The sequence below is a fragment of the Homo sapiens genome, chromosome 17 (assembly GCF_000001405.40).
Source record: "Homo sapiens chromosome 17, GRCh38.p14 Primary Assembly".
NCBI lineage: Eukaryota > Metazoa > Chordata > Mammalia > Primates > Hominidae > Homo > Homo sapiens.
The window spans coordinates 62,965,873-62,990,528 of NC_000017.11; the positions used below are offsets into that span (position 1 = coordinate 62,965,873).

General features: G+C 39.9%; 1 protein-coding gene across 16 annotated transcripts in view, besides 1 other annotated feature; it reads left to right on the forward strand.

Annotated features, from left to right (window-relative positions):
- Positions 250–439: a silencer, noted in NCBI's record as "silent region_8814". NCBI's record gives its function as "represses an Ori minimal core promoter by ATAC-STARR-seq in GM12878 lymphoblastoid cells {active_cell/tissue: GM12878}" and the evidence as "EXISTENCE:reporter gene assay evidence [ECO:0000049][PMID:35858748]".
- TANC2 (tetratricopeptide repeat, ankyrin repeat and coiled-coil containing 2) overlaps positions 363–24,656 on the forward strand; it is a 461,469-nt gene continuing 437,175 nt past the window's right edge. For all 16 annotated transcript variants that reach the window (XM_011524597.3, NM_001394998.1, XM_006721810.4 and 13 more), the window contains exon 1: positions 363–877. The gene's annotated coding sequence lies outside the window, so the exon portion shown is untranslated. The remainder of the gene's footprint in view (positions 878–24,656) is intronic.

The following is a 24,656-nucleotide window of genomic DNA, read 5'->3' on the forward strand; positions in this document are numbered from 1 at the left end:
ACATCACCCCTGAGGGCGGAGCCCAACTATGTAGGGCCTTGTCAGTTACCGAGCGTCCTCCCTGCTGCCCCTCCAAATGCCACCCACAAGTCCGAGCCCCCCGGGGATACGAGAAATGCCAGGACATCCCAGAGCGCCAGAGCCAGGGCCCCGTCTCTCCGCGCGGAGGAGGGCTGCGTCCCCACTCCCTCTTCCAGCCGTTCCCCACCCCCAAACTGTGGAAGGGGCGGGGGCGCGCGCGCTCCACCACGCACGCGCCCCCACGCACGCGCGCTCCCTCCGCGCTCGCGCCCCTCCCCACCCCAGCCCGGAGGGGGCGGGGCTGCGGGCGGCCTCAGAGGGTGCGACGCCCCCAGCGCGGCGGCGGCGCTAGCGAGCGGCCGGCGGGGCGCGGGTTGCTGGGCGCGCTGCTCCGGCGGGGCCCGCTGGCACAGCCGCCTCGCGCGAGCCGCCCGCCCGGCGGGGGAAGCTGCGAGCGCTCCGAGCGCCCGGCCTAGGGCCGCTGGCGCTGCCCTCCCGCCGCCACCGCCCTCCGCGCCTCCTTCGGGCGGCCCCGCCCCCATTCCCATCCCCCTCGCGCTCACCTCCCGGCTGTGCCGCGCGCTAGGCGGAGCGAGGCGCCCGCCGCCGCCGAGCCGAGCCGAGGGGCGAGAGCTGGCCCCCGAGCCGCCGCTGACAGGAGCACCGCCGCGGGCTGCGCTCGCCGGCTGCGAGGCCCCGCCGCGCCGTTCCGGGGTGCAGACTCGCCGCGGGGCGTTGGAGGACTGCGAGGTGCTCCGGGAATCGCGGGCGGCGCCGGCGGGCGGCGCGGTCCTCACAGGAGACCCCGGGGACTGGGGCTTGACCCGGAGGTGCAGAGAGCCCCTCAGAGCGGCAGGTAAGGGGCCCGGGGAGCAGGGCGAGGAAAGGTCGCTTCAGTGACAGGGTCGTTCGCCTCCACAGCCTCGGCTCCGGGGAGAGGGGCGGGGGCGAGCGGGGAGACGGCGAAATGGGCAGCGAAGTGCCTCGGTGTCCAAGGCGTGGGGAAGGCTGGCTCCGAATATGACACCAAGGCGGGCTTCAGAGGCGTGTGGGGTCGCCACTTGGCTGTCACCGAAGATGTCATGGAATTTGGTACCTAGAGCGTCTCTGGATGACGGGGACCAAGGATAAGATGCGAGGCGGATTGCTAAACGTGGCAGGGAATGTGGTGCAGAACGAGTTGCAAAATGTGCCCCCAGAATGCAGCATAAAAGTAGTTGCGAAATGTGCCAGGTAAGGCACAGGATGGGCTGGCCTCTGTGGCGTTGAAATTCATGGTCGAAGTGTTATTAGCGATATTAATAATTCCTCTGGGAAAGGAGGTGTAGCATAATAAAAGATTAATAAGGCTCATTGCTAGATATTTTGCCATAGGAAATCGGGAGGAGCTATGATAAGCTATTTTTTTTGAGGTAGAGAAAGTAACCACGTGAAAGAAAAAAAGCAAATTGTGTCTGGCTGTGAGATTGGAAAGAAAAAATAGGGCTAAAATAATTCCAGGTTTTGCCATCAGCGTGTAGAGCATTGGTACAATTGTATCCAGTCTTCATTTCCAGGTGTGGAATGTTTAGAATGGTCTTCACAAAACATAAACAATGATAATTAACATTAGGAAGAAGATTTGGTGTTTCGGGTGTCTTTCACTCTCTTCTCTGCTCCTCTCCAGGAAAAGAAACAAACAAAACCCCAAACGTCTTGACCATAATTATGAGTTAAAGATCATTAGGCAAAGGGAAGTATTTTTCGTATGTGCCCTTTTCCTGATTTTTACACAGGTGAAAATATCTGTAATGAGGAAAACAAAGCAGTGTGGTGAACAAAAGGGATAGATTTTCAGGCATTTTGAGGGGTTGGAGCCAGTATCTATCACAATGGTTAATTATAGAGAACGGCAGTACTAAAATATTCTTGTATGTTCTTGGTGTTGGGATGGTGAAATAAAAAAAAAAAAGAATACAGTAAATTGGCATAAAAAGCAACAACATGGATACTGTCAGTGGAGTGCTTCTTGCAGCATTTCCCAGGTAGATCCTCTTAGGGATGTGAGCACGAAATAAAACGTTAAACATTCTCTTTCTCCCTCTCTCTTGCTCCCCTCTGTATCTAGATATTTATTTATGTCTCTATATAGATATATGTGCATGTATATTATACATACATAAGAAATTACCAACATGCTGCAAAACATTGTGACTTCCATTTAAGAACATCTGTTTCGAGAGGATTGTCAGAACATAGCTGGAATTTCAGAAGTAACAAAAGACAACTCCATGATCTATTTAATGTAACTTATATGTATACATACAATGAGTGTGAATATACTATATAACAAAAGCAGAAATATGGAAATGTGTTCGTTAGAATGTACTTAATTATTGATGAGATTTTAATGTTTTATGTTATAATTCTTGTAAAGAAATTAAATTACATGTGTGAATGCTGTTCTCATTATAGTAATTTGCCAGATAATCTGAAAATTCATACTGATTGGCTTTCCCTTAGATCCAAATTCAGCCATTGAGGGATCATTTGCTTCAAAGACAAAAATAGATTTTCCTTGGTGATTGATTTTGGGTTTTAGTCTTTTCTGTAGATATGTCCCTTACCTTGAGAAGCTGTTGGGGCTGAAGAACAGAGGAAAGGGCCAGAGGAGAATAAAGAGAATTCTGTTGGGTCTTCCTGTTTTGTTCTGACTGTAAGCCATATGTACTGCCACCCCCTACTGTCTGTAGGAAGAGGTGTTACAGAGCCCGATTCTTTTCTTGTTATCACTGCCCCCTTGTGTAAGGGAAGAAATTGATAGTTGCGCTCGGGGAACCAGTCCTCTCAGATTGTTCTTGATAGAGTATTATGTAGATCTGTGAATCACCTATTTTCTTCAGAGTTGAAGGGCTTTAAACTTACTGTTAATCAGGCCTCAGATTTGGTGTCTATTTTAAATATAGGTAGCATTTGATGTTAGGAATTCAGATTGCTTAAGAATGTTTTTGGTACTTTCAGGAAGAGGGTGCAATACAATTACTACTACATTCTTCCCTTATTGTATGCAGGGGATTGGTTCCAGGACCCCCACATATGCCAAAATCCTTGCATGCTCAAATCCCGCAGTTGGTGTATGGAACCATGTATAGGGAAAAGTCGGCCCTCAATATACTCGGTTTTTGCATCCCATGAATACTGTATTGCTTGAAAAAAATCTGCATAGGAGTAGACCAGCACAGTTTAAGCCCATGTTGTTCAAGGGCCAGCTGTACTAGTAGTAACAGCTCACATTTATGTAGCACCTATTCTTTGCCAGTCCCGTTGTACGTTGTTTTAATCAGTTCCAACACCCTATGAGGTATGTGTTGTTATTTCTGTTTTACAGATGAGAATCTGAAACACAGAGAGGTTAAATAACTTGCCCAATACTATATAGCTGAGAAGTAGAAGAGCTAAGTTTCCATTTAGGAATGCTAGCTCCAGAACCTGTGCTCCTCATCAATATGCTATATTGCCCTCTCACTCAAGGTAGTATTGGCAAGGCATAATTAAAATGCATGTGCCCATCATAAAGCAAGTACAATAGATGTGGATAAACCTGGACAACTCACATAGATGTTAAGTCTGCATATATACAAAAGATACAGTTATTTGCAGTGTGAACATTTCTCTTTAGGAATTTGTTTTTTAACTTATTTCTGGGATTATGCGTAGAGGAGTATTAGTACTTTTTATGTGGTTAAGGAAATATTTGTGATGGTGGTTGGTTTGAAGGGAACTTCAGAGGTAAAAAGTTAATTTCAAGTAGTTTAATATAGTGTGTGTGTGTGTGTGTGTATATAAATACACATTCATACACACACACACAGCCTTTTTAAGAGCACCAGTAAACCTTTACTGCTTATTTTCTGTAGGGAAATTAAGGATAAATTACAATATTTTTCTTCCTACTCATATTTTTATGACCTCTTTTTCATTTATATTAAAAACTACCATAATTAGCACAAATGGATTAGATGCCTATGTACATTTTACCTCTAATGTCAACAAATGTTTGTTCAGATTTTTCTCACACTTAAACATTGTTTTATAAGATATTGACCACATATGACAAAGTATTTATAAAAATGTGTAAAATATAAAGACTTCACAATGCAGCCAACACTTACATGCCTTTTACCCAGTTTAAGAAATGGAACATCATCTTTCACAATTATAATAGTTATTTTCTTCTCTTAGCCAAATTGCTTCTGCCATTCTTTTTCAACAGAAACCTTTCCTTATTGTGCTGCGAATTGCATATCTCATGTAACCAAACACTTCCCTTTTTATATACATTTGTTGATATGGGAATTCAATATAATCTACTGCTTATGGCTAAAACTTATTCAGCATATATGCTTACGTAATTTAATATATTTAATAAATTGTCATACACTCAGACTATGCTTTGTATTTGTATTGGTTACTGGTTGGTAGTTCATTTTAGCATACTTCACTTGTAAAACTTAATTTGGTTTGCAAATTAGGATTTTACTAACATTGTTAAACATTAATAGATTATTTCCCTCTTCCATCATGAATTCTTGACTGTCCCACGCTAGCTCTGTTTTTTCTTCTTTTCCCCATAACTGCCTTTGCTCTTTATTTCTTAAGTGAGTATGAATTATTTTGAATGGAGAGGGAAGGAGACCCTAGAAAGGAGTATACTAATCCAGTCATTTCAAAGGGGACTATTAGGGTAGTTGGTACTGATTGAATATATGGTAGAACAAGTGTGCATAAAAGAAATGCATGAAAATCCTCTCCTTGTCATATTTCTTCCTTTTACAGTAGAATTAAAATGAGATCTGAGACACTCTGATTGGGCACACTAGCTGAATATTGTTGGATTGAACTTACCCAGAATCACCAATGTTAGCTGGGATATTTTTGCTGACAGTACAATATGCAGATTTTAATTCAGGGAGCTAGAACAAGCTGTTGCAGAGGGCTGTTTACTCTTCTAGTACTAGTCTAATCAAGGCACCAAATATTATAAAATAGTTTGGAAGCTAGTTCAATTATTTGGACTTTTTTTTTCTTTCTGAATGACTTGAGACTCAGCATTGTTATATTTGCTTAATGTGCCTGTAGTCATCAAATGCTGTGATTATTTTGAGGGAAAGGCACTCTGTAAATATACTATACAAATAAATAGTTTAGACTTCGTTGTAATACCGTGAGAATACCGCTTGGTTTCTTTGAATAGCGTCTTTTGTAGTAACTTGCATTAGATGAAGACCGTTTAAAATGAAAAAAAAAATGAGTTAAGGAGATGTGTGTATGGTGATGCAGAGTGTATATCCCTGATGAGTTTCTTGAAAAGGCCACGGAGAGAAATAGGTTAAAGAAGAGCTTAAAGACTAGAGCTGTGTTTTCCCACTCAGCAGTCTCCTGCTGCCCTTCGCTTTCCCTTTCTTTTCTCTTTTCAAGACAGGATCTCACTATGTCTCCCAGGGTAGGGTGCAGTGGTGTGATCTTAGCTTATTGCAGCCTACGTCTCCTGGGCTCAGGCGATCCTCTCACCTCAGCCTGCTGAGTAGCTGAGACTATAGGCACGTGCCACCATATCCAGCTAATTTTTGTACTTTTTGTAGAGACAGTGTTTCACTCTGTTGTCCAGGCTCATCTCAAACTCCTGGACTCAAGTGATCCACCTGCCTTGGCCTCCCAAAGTGCTGGGATTACAGGTGTGAGCCAACTGTGCCCAGCCAGTTTTCTTTCTTTTAGAGCAGGGGTCTCTAACCCCTGGACCATCATGGCCTGTTTGGAACCAGGGTGCACAGCAGGAGGTGAGTGGCTGGCCAGCCAGCATTACTGTGTGAGCACCTCCTCCTGTCAGATCAGCAGCTTCATTAGATTCTCATAGGAGCTTGAACCCTATTGTGAACTGCTCATGAGAGGGATCCGGGTTGTCCGTCCTTATGAGAATCTAATGCCTGATGATCTGAGGTGGAACAGTTTCATCCCCAAACCATCTCTGCCCCCCTACCCTCTGGAAAAATTGTCTGGAAAAACGTCCCTGTTGCCAAAAAGGTTGGGGACCGCTGTTTCAGAGGACATTTTACTTTGCGTATTTAAGATTCAAGGTAATATTAGATGGAGAACAGGAACTTTGGGTCTGAGTTTTAGAAGGCTAAAGCAGGTTACGCAATTAGTGAAAAAACTTTCTGGGACCTTTTTTTTTCTAGAAGGGTCAAAGTAACTATAATACCATAATTTTTTCTGGAAACAAATTTATTAGGTCAGTTTATTTTAAAAAATCTTTATAAATTATGTGAAAGCTGTGTTTGTGGATATGTCATATAAGTTGTTTTTTTGTTGTGGGCCACACATGACGTATCTTGTTATGTTCGGTCTCTTGTTTGCTCTTGAATAGTTAAAGGTAAGCATTACTAAATTTAAGAGTCAAAATAATTGTGTTAGTGTTCTATTATGCCTTTTCTTCCCCGTAATATCAATTTCTGTCTTTATTCACTACATGGTTTATAGTGCATCTTAAACTCCTTTCTTTGTTTATCAGAACTTAAGAGAGTCTCATGTCACTCATTTAAACTGAGTAGTTGCATTATAGAAATGATCTTGTTGGTGTGTTTTTTTAAAAATCCAATTGCTGAGGAAACACCTTTAGTGTTTTTGTCAACTTTGCCTACATTTCTTCCATTGCGTTGCTTCCAGAGTGATCTTTCTAGATAGTCATTTGATCATGTCACTTTTTTCTTCAGAATCTTTCACTGGCTCCTCATCACTGAATGGATAAAGTGGAAACTCCTTAGCAAACCGTTTAAGGTCCTTAATGATCTGGTCCCTGCCTCCTCTTTAGACTCATTGCCTGCCACTTCTGTCTTCAAAGTGCTTTAGCGGTAGTAAACTGTGTGTGGTTCCTTCAGTATGTAGTATTCTCCTACCTTTTCATGCCTTTATGAAGTTCTTTTTTTCATGGACTACTCCTGCCCTCTCCTTTGTTCTCTGGGCAAACTGCTTCACAGCCATCATGCGTTAGCCCAATGTCTTCCGAGTGAAGAAGGTTTTGCTTACTCCTCCAGGTGGGCTTGGGCATGATGTTCTCTATCTATTCTCCCCTTGCACTTGGTGTATATAGTAGTTGCCGCATTTTTTTTTTTTTTTTTACACGGCGTCTCACTCTGTTGCCTAGGCTAGAGTGTAATGGCGGCCATCTTGACTCACTGCAACTTCTGTCTCCTGGGTTCAAGTGATTCTCCTGCCTCAGCCTCCTGAGTAGCTGGGATCACAGGCATGTGCCACCATGCCCAGCTAATTTTGTTATATTTTTAGCAGAGATGGGGTTTTGCCATGTTGGCCAGCCTGGTCTTGAACTTCTGACCTCGAATGATCGGCCCGTCTCAGCCTCCCAGAGTGCTGGGATTACGGGCATGAGCCACCATACCCGGCCGTAACATATTTTAAATATTTAATATGACTGGTTCATCACTAATGTGTGAGCTTTTAAGCAGGCACTGTGACTTTTCATCTTTTCAGCATCAGTATAGTTAGTACATAGTAGGTGCTCATTATCTACTTATTGAGTGAGGATTGTTGACCGTTATCTCAGTTATGCCTTTGAAACCTCATCTCTTATTGTGGAATTAGAGGAAACTTTAGGCACCAGGAGGTAGGTTTAGAGAAATATACACACCATCTAAAATATTACTCAGAGTAAGTCCTGGACTGTAACTAAAACTAACCCTAAAGATAAACCAGATTTTGTTCTTTTTTATGTTTGCTGGTGGCAAGAGGAAGATGAGAAGATTCTCTGAACTTTAGCCAAATGATTTTCTTTGTACAATGCAAGAGTTGCCAAACTATAGCCCATAGACCAAATCCAGCCCATTGTCTGTTTTTGTATGACCTGCAAACTAAGAATGGTTTTTACAATTTTAAGCAGTTGAAAAGATATCAAAGGAGGAATGATACTTCATGACATATGAAAATTAAAGGAGATTCAAATTTCATTGTCCATAAAGAAAGTTCCATTGGAACTTAGCCATATTCACTTATTTACATATTGGGTATTGGGTGCAGCAGCAGAGTTGACTACTAGTTGCTGTCGAGACCATACGGCCTGCAAAGCCTAAATATTTACTAGCTAGCTCTTTAGAGAATAAGTTTGTCAGTCCTTGGTCTGTTACATAGCCTGTGCCCATTAAGTGTTCGTTGAATATCATGAGTTGGAGATATACCAGCTACTTTTTTGAAGGGCTTCGCAGGGCATAATTCCTTCTATTTACTGAGAAGATTGGCCACTTTGCTTTTGTAATGATTTATCTCACAGGCCCCTGTTGTACCTCTCTGATGACACCCTTATTACATCTAACACTGAATAAGACTCTCACAAAGTGTGTTTCAAGATTCTATTCCTTTTTTTTTCTTTAAAAGGTGGAGAGGAGTTTGGAGAACAGCATGTAGTAGAATGTTTTTCTTCGCTCACATCTCAGTTTCTCATATACATTTTTTGCAATAAAAGATCATTGTTATATTTTTAAAAACCTTGATTTTGTATATTAGTTTGTTAGGCAGACACCTTGTGTGTAAAGTTTAAAAGTTGAGGTGGATTAGTTATGTTGGAAAAACTGGGGTATTTTTATGGAGTGTATTAACATATTCATTCATTTAAATATTTATTGACTACTATGTATAAGTTGTTAATTTTACTACTATTGTCTTTGACTTGGGGATGGAAATTTCATATTCTTCCTTAAAAGCTAAAATTGTAATTCAGAATCCTGTGTCTTACATATTTTTTCTACCCCTGGGAAAAATATAGTTCAAAAACATATGTACCATACTATTAATATTTGCCACTTCCCTGAAGTTCAGTAAGCCAATGATGATAGATTTTACTGTTTTCTTTATGTGGCAAAGTGTTATGAAAAGGCAGTGATTGATATATTCCTTTTCGTAGATATCAGCCAATGTTACAGACATAAAATTCATAAAGAAAAGTACGTAAGCAATAATAGTGGAAAACTTGTCATTCCAAATGGATGATCTTTGGACCAGGTAGCCATTCTTATTTCCTTGTCTGTAATACCATGCTAGCATTATCATATGATGACGTAGCTGATTATAAAGATTGACAACATTAAGAAATATGGCCCCAGTTTTTTACTGCCATGGAAATCCCCTGGTTAATCCAGCCTTATAAGTAGATTATAGTTATTGAACTTGGAAACGAGAGTGGGTATATAGAGATTGTGATTTAGTCATTTTATGCTTGGAGAATGTGCTTCAAATCTCAGATCTCAGGCAATTCTGTCTGCCTAAATGAAGGTAGTCACTTCTTAGCCCTTTATTCCTAATCTTTCATTGGGTGGAGGAATCCCACAATTTCTAGTTGTGGTTGCTGAAATTTGGTAAGGCACAGCTAGTTAGGTTATAGGTTATAGAAACTTGATACATATTTATTGTACTCTGTAATTCTATTTCTGTTCAAATTCCATGGAATCCTCTAGGGCACCCTGGGATTGTGAATTAGTGTGAATGAATGTAAATAGCTTTAGTGGGCCTATGGAATGAAGACTTATTAAACCACATAAATAACCGTCCAACCACATACACCCATATTCTGCCTCAGGATCAGAGAATCAGCTTTTCCATTTTCGGGCTTTTTTTTTTAATTTTTTTTTTTTTTTAATGTAGAGACAGACTTTGTTTGAAAGCTGTTATTCAGACATTCCTATATTATAGGATGACAGTACTGTTGCTCAGTTGTAAGTTTAGAAATTCCAATGATGAGACCAGTATATATTGGAAAGAATATGACTTTATGAGTTTTGAATCATGAAAATGGGTTTGAATTACTGCTCTGTCACTAATTGTATGAGGGGCCAAAAATCTATCTCACAGGGTTTTTATGATGATGAAATGAAAAATATCTTGGTGAAAATCCTTAGGACGATGTCTAGTACTTAATAAATGGTAATTTTTATTAGCCTGTGGAAAGTATCCTAAATTTTTCTTTTTTGATATATGCCAGCTCCTCCCAATTTTTTACTGGCATTGTCACTCCAGCTTTTCTTTGTTATCTTGTCTTGATTTCCTTTTCAGCCTTGCAAGGCATTTTAGAAACCCATGGTAGTTTGGATACTGATTTATTTTATTCATATCCTTAAATTTTCTTTTGTGAAGTATTTGATAAAAGCTGAGAGAAAGAGTTTTTGAATAACTGTAAACCGAAAAACTCAGATACTGCTGGGCCTACTCTTTTTATGCATTTTTTTTGGACTATTTCTTTTGAACACTACTAACTTGACAAAAATTAATTTTAATCCTTTCTATAAAATCTCAAATCATAGTGTTTCTTGAGATGCGCCCCTTGACAGCTTTTCTTCAGTTTGATTATGTAAACAGTTTTAACTTCTACAAATATCTTTTTTTGTGAATAATAACTTGAACTTTGCTCCTTACACCCCTACCCCCAGCCAGTGCCTCAGGTTGACAGCTTTTTGTAATCTTTCTTTTTTGAAACATTGTATGTGACAGTCAGTCAAGGTGGACTGCTTGGAGGGTTTGTCTGGTTTTTTTTTTTTTGATATCTACCTACTTAATAAAAAAGGGACTTATCTATTTACAGTGTAAAATAATATATTGGAAAATTTTGCCCCTTTTTCTGTGGTATAATCAGTTAACTATTTAGAATCTTGTAAAAAATAAAGTAGAGGTTCCTCTTCAAAGAAACTTTCCTCCCCGTCTAATTAGGAATAAATAGTAACTTCTCTTAGAAGCAAAATTTATTCAAAGATCCGTGCTAACATTCTTAAATACTACCTGTAATAAAAAAAATTAATGTACTTTATATTCTTAGCTCTCACAATTTAGCCTAAATACTTGCCCTGGCATGCTTATACTGGTCCAAGAAAGCATTAGGTCGTAGCTTGTTCCTCTTCCTTATTTGGAAGTATTTTTACCTTTCTTAGCATTCCACAAGTTACTTCCTCCTTCCTTTGTTCTCCTCTGCCTTTGCCTCTTTTAAAAAGTTCCAAGTCGCTAGCCAATCGTGACAAATACAGAATGTGAGGTCCCGTTCCAGCCGATGGAAACCAGACACAGCAGTAAGGTGGACGCGTCAGGTTATAAATGACCCTGTCTCCTTTGTTCCATGCACTCTTGTGGCAAAACTGTTGGCGAGTGTACCCTTTCTGCAGAAAGTAAAAATGGCCTTGCTGAGAGAATTAAATTTATGTTCAAGTGCTATTTCTTTGCAGCCCCAGGGAACAAGCATTCTGTTTCTACATAAACATTTTTGACATATAACAATCCCATTTTTCCCTAAGCTTCAGTTATTTCTGTAGCACTTTGTCAATTTCTGCTTATCTGTGTATCTTTAGTATAATTATTGAATCTTTTTCTTTAAATGAACTTGACTCATTTTCTCTTAGTTTCATCTTTAGTTTTCCTGATCTTTATAAACTGATAAGTTTGTGCTAGTTATAAACTAAAGAATAGTTCATCCTGAAGACATTTCACTTAATGCACTTGGGAAAGACTACTTATATGCAAATTTGGTTCCAGATTGGATTGTTTTGAATTTTAAAATAACTTCATATAATGAGTCTTCTCCTTGCTTTAGATAATTTAATTGTTTTTGTCTTTGGATATGTTAAATGTAGGCATTTATTGGTTGTCAACAAATGTTAATTGTCATTACTTATAATGGGCAGCTGGGGTATTTCTCCCCTATCCCCTAACATTCTACCTATTTTTTTTTAATTACAAAAGTAATATTCTCCCCATCCCCTAACATTCTACCTATTTTTTTAAATTACAAAAGTAATACATCTGCTTGCAACCACTAAAATAAACAAACTCTAGGAGTCAATAAAGAAAAAGTTGATATTTTCCTCTCCCCTCGGGTTTCTCCCTTCTCTAGTTATATTCCTTGGAGTAGCCAACGTTAACCAACACTTTGATAAGGAGTATTTTTTCAGTGTGTTTCTCTTTGCTCAAAAATATATAAGCATATACACATAAATATACAGGCTTCTTGTTTTTCTAATTAAATAGGGATCATATTATTTATTGCTTAGTAACATGTATTACTCATTTAACAATATATCATGGCTATCACTTCAGTTCAGTAAATGGAACTCTAATTTTTAAAAGCTGAATAATATTTTATAGTACACTGTACCATAATTTATTATGTTATTTCCCAACTGATGGATGTTAAGATTGTTTCCTTTTTTTGCTATTATAAACATTAGTTCACTCTTATGACTAGAGAAGCAAACATTTGAAATAAAGTATTAGCAAAATAAATCTAGCCACGTGTTTAAAAGGTAATACACTATGATCAAGTAGAGTTTATTGCAGGAAGGCAAGGGCATTAAAATATTAAAATATTGTATAATATTAACACATTCTGAGATAAAAACTACATGATTATTTCTCTTTTTTTGGGGAGAGTTAGGGGCTTCGTATTGTATTTATACAAAATAGCATAGGGAGATGCCTGCCCATGTGGACAGCAGTCCAAGTTTTATACAGTTCTTTGGTCTTAAAAGTTGATAGACAAAAGTCTTTATTCTGGGGTCTTTAGAGGGGACTCTATGGGTCCTGTGCCTTGGCCTTGACCTCGTTACTGGCCATTGGTTGCCAAAGCTTAGTATGTTGACAGTATGGACAGCTGGGAAAGAGACTGGGATGGATGGTGTGGGTGATATCCAGTTCAGGGCTGGTACCTTTTAAGAGTACCAATTTGATTACTTTGGGCTTGAGGAGCACCTTTTTGGCCTCTGTATAGGTGCTCATTGCCTTGGAAATGTTGGCCTGAATCTTTTCGAGGACTTTTTTGTTGGGCTTGTTGGCAGAATTATGCATTCCTTAGAATCTGAATGTCTTGAAGCCATTTCTGTGCCATTTTCAGGACTGGTCTTCTGTGATATTGTTCTTGGATTTGGCCATATCTGTACTGCTGGCTGCAACTGTGGGAGTTGTGGAGACTGGAAAAAAGAGCCCCATGTTGATTTCAATAGATGCCAGCAAAGCATTTAATAAAATTTTGGAATAATTTCCCCAGAATGTATATGGCATAATTTCCTAATCCTTACTTGAATGAAGATGTCTTTTATCTTGATTAGTGAAAGGTATTTTGACCAGACATAGTATTCATGGATCATAATCCTTTTTTTTCATGCAGCATGTACACGTTATACCACTGTCTTCAAGCCTTTTGTGCAGATGAAAAGTCTGATTCTCCTTTCTTTATAAGTGTCTTCTATACATGCAGTTTTACCATCCTTATATGCCCTGAGATTTTCAGGTTTAATCTCACGGTATACTTTATCCCTTTTATATCATGAGAAACCCAATGCTGCCAGTAATTCCTGTCTTTATAGTTCTGTGTTTCTGCCTTTCTGACCCCAGTTTTTTCTCTTTTTTTGGTCTTATTCTTTAAAGTAAAGATCTTTTACCTTATTTTGCAATAGCATGTTAACAGTTTTGGTCTGTTATATGGGCATGTCTTTCTGGCATGCCTTCATTGTCTGTAGGGATATTCTACTCCTATTCTCTCATTTCTTATACTAGCAACTTCGTATGAGATTAACCTTGATACTTTTCTGGGACTCATTTTTATTTGAAATAAATTTTAAAAATATTTTAGAGTGTGGCTGGGTTTAGGAAAGCATTTTTTAAATTTACAGAGCTTTCTCTTCTCTTGCTTTTCTGTACTTTTAAAAAATGTGGCAAGGCAGGGCACGGTGGCTCACGCCTTTAGTAATCCTAGTATTGGGAGGCTGAGGTGGGAGGATTGCTTGAGGCCAGGAGTTTGGACCAGTCTGGGCAACAAAGTGAGACTTTGTATCCACAAAAAATTTTAAAAATTAGCTGGGTGTGGTGGCACATGCCTGTGGTCCCAGCTACATGGGAGGCCGAGGCAGGAGGATAGCTTGAGCCTGGGAGGGTCTAGGCTGCAGTGAGTCGTGTTAGCACCACTGCAACTCCAGCATGGGCAACAGAGTGAGACCCTGTCTCAAATAAATAAATGAATGAATGAGTGAATGGCAGCTTGCTTTCTGAGATTTCCTGGCCTTATTCTCCTCCACTAGTTTGGCTTGAACCTTCTCTTTCCTTCGTCTCTCTTGTCTGACCCCAGTTTTCACCACTGTGTGACTCTGAAACCTTTCCTCTGTGCCTTTTAGAGTTTATTGTCAGTCACCTGTAAAACACCGTTTCTTTTTAACCTCTTCTCTAAACAATACCTTGATTTCCTTACTGTACCTGAAACTGAGCTCTCTTCCTGAGGGCACTCCTTCCCCTGAAGAGTTCTTTAGTGGTGGCTCCTCCTATTGGGAACAGAGATGTTCTGTTTGTTTCTTATTGCTGCATCTAGACTTCTGGGCTCTCTCCCACTACTCCAGTCATGTAGTTGTTGGTGATTTCAGGATCCATACAGATGCTTTTCATATAGGTTATCTGTAATCTGAAAATCCAAAATCTGAAATGCTCTAAAATTAGAAACTTTTTGAGTGCTGACATGACAACTCAAAGGAAATGTTCATTGGAAGATTTCAGGTTTTCAGATTTGGGATGCTCTGTGGTACATATATTCCAAAATCTGAAAAAAATTTGAAATCTGAGACACTTCTGGCCCAAAGCATTTTGGGTAAAGAATACTTAACATGCAATACTCTGGCTTCCTGACTTCCTCTCCTCCATTGATTTATCTTAGCCATTCAACTCTGTGGCATATCCTGTGCAGATGCTTTTAAACTCTCAGGGCATCTGCATTAACTGGGGAGCTTTGAAAAACTATAGATGCCTAGGACTCACTCCCAGAGATTCTGATTTCTTTATCAGTTTCTGACATTTTACTCTCCACCTACCACCTCCTATTTTTCTGGCTTACTTCTAGTACCCAAGAGTCTTAATTCTTTCATCTCACTGGGACTTTCTCATTTGCCACCTTTTCTGTTACATCGTACCCTCATATCCTCATTTCCTTTTCCAACTAGCTGAGTTCCCAAAGCCTGTCATTACACTTGCTCTTCTGAGTCTACTTTCAACCCTCTTGACTTCTCTCCCTGAGTTGTTCTTGCTTGGCCAAACCTTGATGAAAACCAACTCCATCTGTTTTATACCTGTATACTTGTAGGTGAATATGGCTCGAGCAAACAGCTATGTTGACTTTCAATTCTTGGCTAGTACTTAATGACTTTAAGTTCATGGTTTAGTGCTGCCCAGCTGTCTTGTTAACTCTAGTTCTTTCACGTTCCCATTGCTTAGATGATTATATCTTTCCCTTGCATTCACATTGTCAGTATTTCCATTCCATCTTCTCTCTCAGCTGATGACCTTGCTTTCTGTTTCATTAAGAAAATAGAAATAATCTTCCCACCACCTGCATCTTTACCAATCTTATTATGAAATAACTGTCTTTTTCTCTGTTGAAGGTCATTTCCTTCAGTTGTCCATTAGAACCTACCCCCCCTCACCTTCTCAAGGATATGTTCCTGTAATTCTTCCTCTTTTCTCCTTTTCTGCATTGCTGTGAACATAACTCTCAGACCACTAGACCTATTATTCCCCATTTGCAGCTTTCACATTATTCTCCTTCTTTCTTCCCTGAAAGTCTCTAGCTTTGTATCTCATGTCATCTGACTATATTACCTACAACCTCTTATTGTTGTTGACTGTATCTCCTGGTTCATTGTAGGGCATTCCCTACAATGATTTCTGATACTGACTACCTTGAATTAGGCCAGACTTCACAAGTTAAGGGCACAGTCCTCCGTAAGACTACTCTTCAAACACTAGCTGCAAACTTGGGGGATTTCAGAGGCACCCTCATTTTTGAGCAACTAGCTAAAATTTAGGGATTCTTGCTACTCCCTCACGTTTGATAATTCATTAGAACAACTGATAGAACAGGAAAGCACTGTAGGTTTGATTATGGCTTAATTGTGTCATAAAGGATACAAATCAGCATCATCCAAAAAGAGACACATAAGGCCGGGAGACTCCTAAATGTGAAGCTTCTGATGTCTTCTCCCTGTGGAGTCAGGATACATCACCCTCCTGGCACAAAGACATGTAGCAAATCATACGTTGTTTACACAGTGTCCACAATCTTCTGTGGCATTTCATGTGTAAGCATGACTGATTGAATCATTGGCCGCTGATGGAAGTAAGTCTTCATCTCCCTGCCCCACCTTGGTCAGTCTCCTATGGGTCAAAATCTCAACTCTTTAATTATGTGGCTGGGTTCTCTAGCATAGCCAGCACCTATCCTGCATCATTTTATTACCACAGACTATTTAGGGACCTATCATGAGTCATCTTGTTAGCATAAATAATCAGAGCTCACCATGAATAACAAAGACACTCAGGAAATTCCCAGGATTTAGAGACTACCTTTCAGGAACTGGGGACAAAGGTTCAGCAAAATTCTCTATTACACAGGATTCCCCCTTTATACTTAAAAACAAAAAAATTAGTTCTCCCCACCTTACCAATACTATTTCTAATGTTAATTCTTGGTAATTTTGATCATGTAGATATTTTTTCAACATTTTGATCTTTCAGTCCTTTGAATTTATTTCCTTCAATGAATTTGTCTTCCAATTTACCTCAACCATTCACTCCCATAGTCATACCCTAGATCTTGACTAATAGCTGCATCCTCCCCATAATTTCAGTTTCATGCATCCCAATCTCTGACCACCACTTGCTGTCTTTCAGTCTTTCTCCCTTTAGTACCCTGACTCCAATAATCCTTTAATCCCACTAGGACCTCTAATGCGTTGTTGCTACCACCATTTTTCAGCACCATTTATTGAAGAGATTTTTCTGCAATGTATGTTATTGGTTTTTTGCCAGAAATCAGTTGGCTGTAGATATATGGATTAATTTCTGGGTTCTCCTATCTGTTCCACTGGTCTATGTGTCTGTTTTTATGTCGGTACCATGCTGTTTTGGTTATTACAGCTTTGTAGTATCTTTTGAAGTCTGGTAGTGTGATTTCTCCAACTTCGTTCTTTTTGCTCAGAATTGCTTTGGCTATTTGAAGACTGTTGTGATTCCATGCGAATTTTAGGATTTCTTTTTCCTATTTCTGTGAAGGATGTCATTGGTATTTTGGTAGGGATTCTATTGAATTTATAGATTGTTTGGGGTAATCATTTTAACACTCTTCTTCCATTAGCATAAGACATTTTTCCATTTGTTTGGATGCTCTTCAATTTTGTTCATCAGTATTTCGTAGTTTTTCTTATAGAGGTCTTCAACTCCTCAGTTAAATTTCTTTCTAAGTATTTTATATTTTGTAGCTATTATAAATCGAATTGCCTTCTGGATTTTTTTTAGCTAGTTTATTGTTTGTGTATAGAGTACTACTGATATTTGTTTGAATTCGTTTGAATTCGTTTATTGAATTCGTTGATCAATTTTATGAGTTTTTGGTAGGGTCTTTAGGTTTTATTTTATTTTTTATTTTAATTTAAAATTTTTTTGCATATAAGATCATGTCATCTGCAAACAGGTTCAGTTTGACTTTCTCCTTTGTAATTTGGATGCCTTTTATTTCTTTTTCTTGCTTGATTGCTCTGGCTAGGAATTGCAGTACTATGTTGAATAAGAGTGAAAGTGGGCATTCTTGTCTTGTTCTAGTTCTTAGAGGAAAAACTTTGAGCTTTTACCCATTCAGTATGATGTTAGCTGTGAGTTTGTCATATATGGCCTTTACTGTGTCAAGGTACTTCCTTTTATACCTTATTTATTGACAGTTTTTTTATCATGAGGGGATGTTGAATTTTTAAAAATGCTTTTTCTGCATCTGTTGAGATGATTGTATGGTTTTGCTCCTTTATTCTGTTACTGTGATTTATTACATTTAATAATTTGTGTATGTTGAACCATAATTGCATTCCTGAGATAAATCTCACTTGATTATGGTGTATTATCTTTTTGATGTGTTACTGGATTTGGTTTGTTAGTATTTTGTTGAGAAGTTTTGCTTCTATGTTCATTAGGGATATTGGCTTGTAGTCTCCTTTTTTTGTTGTGTCTTTGTCTGGTTTTGGTATTAGGGTTATGTTGGCCTTATACAATGAGTTAGAGAGAATTCCCTCCACTTCAATTTTTGGAATAGTTTGAGAACTCTTAGTATTAATTATTCTTTAAGGCTTTGGTAAAATTCAGCAGTGATACCATCTGGTTCTGGACTTTTCTTTGCTGGGAGACTTTTTACTGATTCAATTTTTCTGATTACTGATTCAGTCTCAGTGCTTGTTGGTCTGTTGAAGTTTTCTATTCTTCATTTGGTCTTGTTAGCTTGTATGTCTCCAGGAATTTATCTATGTCCTCTAGGTTTCAAAATTTATTGACATATATTCATAGTAGTCTAGTGATTCTTTGTATTTCCGTGGTATCCATTGTGATATCTTCTCTTTCATTTTTTATTTTATTTGAGTCTTCTCTTTTTTTGTTAGTGTAGCTAATGGTTTCTCAATTTTGTTTCTGTTTTCAAAAAACCAAATTTTTGTCTCATTGATCTTTAGTATTTTTTTTGTCTCTCAACTTCATTTATTTCTGCTCTGATCGTATTCTTTCCTTCTGTTAATTTTGGGTTCGGCTTGTTCTTGCTTTTCTAGTTCCTTTGAGATGCATCCTTAAGTTGTTTATTTGAAATCTTTCTAGTTTTCTGCTGTAGGCATTTATCACTGTACACTTGTGTCTTAATACTACTTTTGCTGTCTCTCATAGGTTTTTGTATGTTGTGTTTCTATTTTCAGTTGTTTTAAGGAATTTTAAATTTTAATTCTTATTTTTTTCCTTCATTCATTGGTTGTTCTGGAGCAGGTTGTTTTATTTCCATGTGTTTGTATAGTTTTGAATGTTGCTCTTGTAATTTTTAGTTTCATTCTAAATATCTTGTGGTCAGATATTTGGTATGATTTAAATTAAAACAATGTTTTAGACTTCTTTGTGTCCTAATTTGGTCAGTCCTGGAGAATGTTCCATGTGCTGTTGAAAAGAATGTGTATTCTGCAGGTGTTGGGTGAAACACTCTTAAGTGTCTGTTAAATCCATTTGGTCTGTGGTGTAGTTTAAATCTGATGTTTCTTTGTTGACTTTGTTGAGTCTGTCTAGATGAACTCTCCAGCGCTGACAGTGGGTGTTGAAATCAGTCTAATGTTGATAAATTCCCATAGTTTTGGCTTGTCTGAAGTATTTTATTTCTTTCATCTCTAAGGATAGCTTTGTTGGACATAATATTCTTGACTACCAGTTTTCTATTTCTTTCAGTAATTTCAATATATCATCTCATTCTCTCCTGGCCTGTGAGGTTTCTTCTGAGAAATCTACTCTACTAAGACTAATGGGGATTCCCTTATATGTGACTTGATGTTTTTCTCTTGTTTTTAGAATTCTTTTTCTTTTACTTTTGACAATTTGACTGTAATGTGCCTCAGACCTCTTCGGCTTGAATCTGTTTGTGGTTCTTTGAGCCTCCTAGATCTTGATGTTCATCTCTCTCCTAAGATTTGGGACATTTTCAGCTACTATTTCATGAAATATATTTTCTACTTTTTTTCACATTTCCTTTCCTTCCAGAATGCCTATATGCTAATATTTGCTCACTTAAAGGTGTACCATAAATCCTATAGGCTTTCTTCATTTTTTAAAATTATTTATTGTCTTCTGTGTTATTTCAAATGACCTGTCATCAGAGTTCAGAAATTCTTTCTTCTGCTTGGTCTAATCTATTGTTGAAGCTCTCAATTGGATTTTTTATTTCATTCATTGAATTCTTCATCCATAGAATTTGTATTTGGTTCTGTCTTATGATACCTATCTCTGTTAAATTTCTCATTCAAGTTATCAATAATTTTTCTTATTTTGTTGAATTGTCTATCTGTATTCTCTTGTATCTTGCTGAGTTTACTTAAGATTATTATTTTTGACATTTTGTATATTTCCTTATGATTGAGACCTGTTACTGGAGAATTATTATATTTCTTTGGAGGCATCATATTTCCTTGCTTTTTCATATTTGATGTGTCCCTACATTGATTTCTTATGCATCTGATTGTAAAGTCACCTCTTCCAATTTTATGGAGTAGGCTTCATAGGGAAAGACTTATTCATATGAATGGGTCTTGGCATGACGGTTAGGTGGGGCATGTTGGCTCTATTTCTGGGCAGATGCTGTAGTGTAGTGTCCATGTAGTTTCTTCAGCTGTAACTCATGCTAGTTATGTTTGCAAATGTCTCTTTGGCCTAGGCTGAGAGAATTTTTGGCAGTAGTGGTGTGGCTTTGCCAGGGGTAGGCTCACTGGGCTGTTTCTCAGGTTGGAGGTCCCTGTGTGCACATAGTGGGTTGGCTAACTTGGGGCTGGGTTTGGAAGCCGGGGACATTACTCTGGCTGGGAGCACATGCATTTGGCTGCTCAGCTGGCCTGGGACGTGCCTGCCAGGAGCAGCCTTCAGGGTTATTTCTCATGCCCAGGATGCAAGCACACACCTGCTTGGCTGACCTGGGGATGTGTTTGCTGGGGGTGGCCCATGGGGCTACTTCTCTGGCCCTTGATTTGGGTGTAAGCTGCTGGTCTGGTCCGGGGATATATCTGCTTGGGTGGACCACAGGGCTGTTTCTCAGGCCTGTGGCACAGGTGTCCAGCTGCTTGGCTGGCCAGAGGCTTGTGTTTGCTGGGGGTGACCTGTGAGGCTGTTTCTTAGACCTGAAACACAGGCGCATGACTGTATGGCTAGCCCAGAAGGGGAGGGATGTCTGCTAGGGGTGGCCCACAGGGCTGCTTCAAAGGCCTGGAATGCAAGTGAACAGCTGCTCAGTGGAACTGGGGGTATGTCTGGCAAGGGCAGCCTGTGGGGCTGCTTCTCAGGCTTGGGATGCAGATGCGTGATTGCTTGGCCGGCCTGGGGTATTACCAGACAGAGTGGCCTGCAGAGCTGTTCCTCAGGCCTGAGGCATGGTTGCACAGCTGCTCAGCAAGCCTGGGATCATGTCTACCAGGAGTGTCTCGAAGAGCTATTTCTGAGGCCCTGACTGCAGGTGCATGTCCATTGGGTTAGCCATGGCCTTGTCTGCAGGGAATGGTGCACTGCCGGGCTGTTTCTCATGCCCTGCATATGAACATGTAGCTATTCTACAACATATCAGCTACTCAGAGACTTGAGGGCCTCTCCCGCTGGGGGAGTACATGCAACAGTTTGGGCAGCTCTAGGGCAGGTTCATCCTGGGTAGGACTGCCAGACTGTTCCTCTGGCTATAAGTGAGAGCAGTGGGAGTTGGTTCTTTGCTGTGCAGGACCAGAGTCACAGCTATTCCTGGGCCCCGACTTTGTGCTCCTGGGGTCGTGGTGTTCAGCCACTGGTGTGGAATTCGTAGTATAAAGATGGAGCCCCCGTGCTGGAGAGGTGCAGTGGCTACTGGCCCCCAGATGAGGGCGCACTTCAGAGGTGGCCCTGGTCTCAGGATAGCACCATGTTGCAGTATCTGGGTTCACAGAGCGTGAATGGGGGTTAGGGAGTGCACACCTTGTGCTCCTAATCTAGGAACTGCATGAATTCCCTGCAGCTCTTCTAACGGGGGTCAGGGCTTGTGAGGACTATAGGAGTCTCCTGTTGCAAGGACTGTAGATATTTGTGGTGGCAGTGGGGACTAGTGGGGTTCTTCTGCCTACCTTTTCCCTGCAACAGGAAGTCTTTCCTGACTCCAGGCAGATCTGATCCAGGTGGGAAGATAGGGCTACAGAGGCTGGGTACCTCCATGCTGGTCTCCTGGACTTCCAGTCACAACGGGTGCATCTTCACACCCTACTGTACCCCAGCACTCTCCCTTTGACATTCCAGTCAAATCTTAGCTGTTTGTTGCCTTGGTCCTTTCTTGTGGTGGGTGGGAAGTGCAGAGGGGCAAGGAGTACAGGGAAGGGGTGCAGGGGACGAGCATTAGGTGTCTCTAGTCAGCTATCTTGCTGAAGTCACTGAGTTTTTTTTGTTTGTTTTGTTTGCCGTAGACTTAATAGAAATTCCAGCAGTAACATGATTAAAAAGGCATGTTAGAAGATTAATATATTCCATATTAAATATAGTAAGTTTCTGCTAAACACGATCTTTTTGATTTACCTATGATATTTTTGCTTGATGAGAGTAATAATTTTTATTACAAGATAAGGGACAGATATCTGGGAAATCAGATTACTCTGTTTTCAAGATGTCTTAGACTAGACTGACTTTATTTTATTTTGAGACATAGTCTTGCTCTGTCACCCAGGCTGGAGTGCAGTGGTGCAATCTCAGCTCACTGCAACCTCTGCCTCCTAGGTTCAAGCGATTCTTCTGCCTCAGCCTGCCGAGTAGCTGGGATTACAGGCGTGCACCACCACACCTGGCTAACTTTTTTTTTTTTTTTTTTTTTTAGTAGAGATGGGGTTTCGCCATGTTCACTAGGCTGGTCTTGAATGCCTCACCTTAAGTGATTTGCTGACCTCGGCTTCCCGAAGTGCTGGGATTACAGGCGTGAGCCACTGTGCCTGGCCAAGATGGAGTTTCTTGCTCTAATTACGTTTTTTGTAGGTTTTCTTCACTTAAGCTTTGCTCACACCATAATGAGGTTTTCTCTGATTGTTTGTTGGGATTAGTAATGGCATTCATGCAAGAATGGTGTATGAAGTTTATGAAGTTTAAAAGCAGTCGATGTACAGTGAGATCATGTATTAAGGCATGGTAACAGTTGCTTTGGGTTACAGCCAAAAGTAGGCAAATCAGGAATTTGGAAGAGAATAAAGAACGGAAGCAATTTTTTTAGTGTTATACAATTAGGGCAAAAATAATAAGATGATTCTCACCGAGTATGATTTTAGATGCCCCAGATTTTCAAAATCAGCACTCAGGTATGGCTTTGAAACTTTCAGAAGACAAACCAGTACTAGCTGCAGTTTTTCAGCATGCCCAGGAACTGAGCATTAGACACCAAAAGAAGCAAGATTAGTGTTCTACTTTCATTCAGGTTGGAGAAAAGGAGCCAAAGATTTTGTATAAAGTTCCCCTTGTACTTTATTTCTGGGATGTGAAAATTATTTTACTTATGCAAAAGCATATAGTAAGTACTTGACGAATATGTTTACTTAAACCTCTAAATAATCCCCTCTCTCTTATAAATTTCCTTTACACTTTATCTTTCTCTTGTGATACCTAGCACCTTCTAGTTTGAATTTTACTTGAGCTCACTTCTCTTTAATTCTCATTAACGGACTGATGCTTCTTTTAGGCAGAACTGCTTGTTAACCTTTTAAAAAATTATCTGCAGTACCTGCTGAGGGCCTTATACTTAGTTTGTTCTCAGTAAACAGTGAACAGATAGAAGATCAGAAGACATTTTGTTTTTAAAATTTATAGATTAATATTAGAAAAAGATTTGAGGCGGCATTGCCATCTGTATTCATGCAGTAGAGAAGTGTCGCTGAGTGCAAAAGATATAATTTGCGAAGAATTTTCACTAACGTGTTTCTAAAATAAGTTTTTTGCTGTGTTAGTGTGTTTTGGTTGTTTCTTGATGTTATTTATAAGAATGCTTAGTGCCTGGACTTAATCCTTTAAAATAACAGTTTAATTTTAACTTCACAGGCATACTAAACCTGTTCATTATGTGCTTGGAGAAACCAAGGGAAGGCGAATGATGCAGGAAGTAGTAGTGGTAGTTCTATGTATTCTTCTTCATTAGCCCTTTTACTGAACTGGCGACAAAAGAATTCTGTAATATAACTTTAAAATATTTTATTAGATAATGGCTGTGGTCATTGATGGAGCTAATCCAGCTATCTAGAGAAAAGCCATTCCTGCAAAGCTCATAGAATAAAAAACACATGCTTTTTTTTTTTTTTTTTTTTTTGAGACAGAGTTTCACTCTGTCGCCCAGCCTGGAGTGCAGTGGCGCAATCTTGGCTCACTGCAACCTCGTCTCCTGGGTTCAAGTGATTCTTCTGCCTCAGCCTCCTGAGTAGCTGGGACTACAGGTGCGCACCGCCACACCTGGCTAATTTTTTTTGTATTTTTAGTAGAGATGGGGTTTCACCGTCTTGGTCAGTCTGGTCTGCTCTTGAACTCCTGACCTCGTGATCCGCCTGTCTCGGCCTCCCAAAGTGCTGGGATTACAGGCATGAGCCACTGCACCCGGCCAAGGCATGCTTTTTGGTTAGAGAAGTTTGGTGAGTAAAAACTAATAAAGGATGGTTGAGCAACTTAGCGATGATACTAATTTACTGGGCTAGAAAATACCAGAGGAGGGTTGTTCATATGAGAGGCCTGGAGTGAAATTTGGTTATCCAGATGATAGATGACAGCAAAGGCAATGGATGAACTAGGAGGAGAGGACACTGAAAAAGGAATTAATTAATTATTGAGAGAGTCTCATTCTGTCACCCAGGCTGGAGTGCAGTGACACGAACAGAGCTCACTGCAGCCTTGACCTCAGGCATAAGCAATCCTCCCACCTCAGCCTCCCAAGTAACTGGGACTGCAGGCATGTACCATCATTGCTGGCTAATGTTTTTTTTTTAAAATTTTCTGTAGAGATCAGCTCTCCCTATGTTGCCCAGGCTGGTCTTGAACTCCTAGCTCGAGTGATCTTC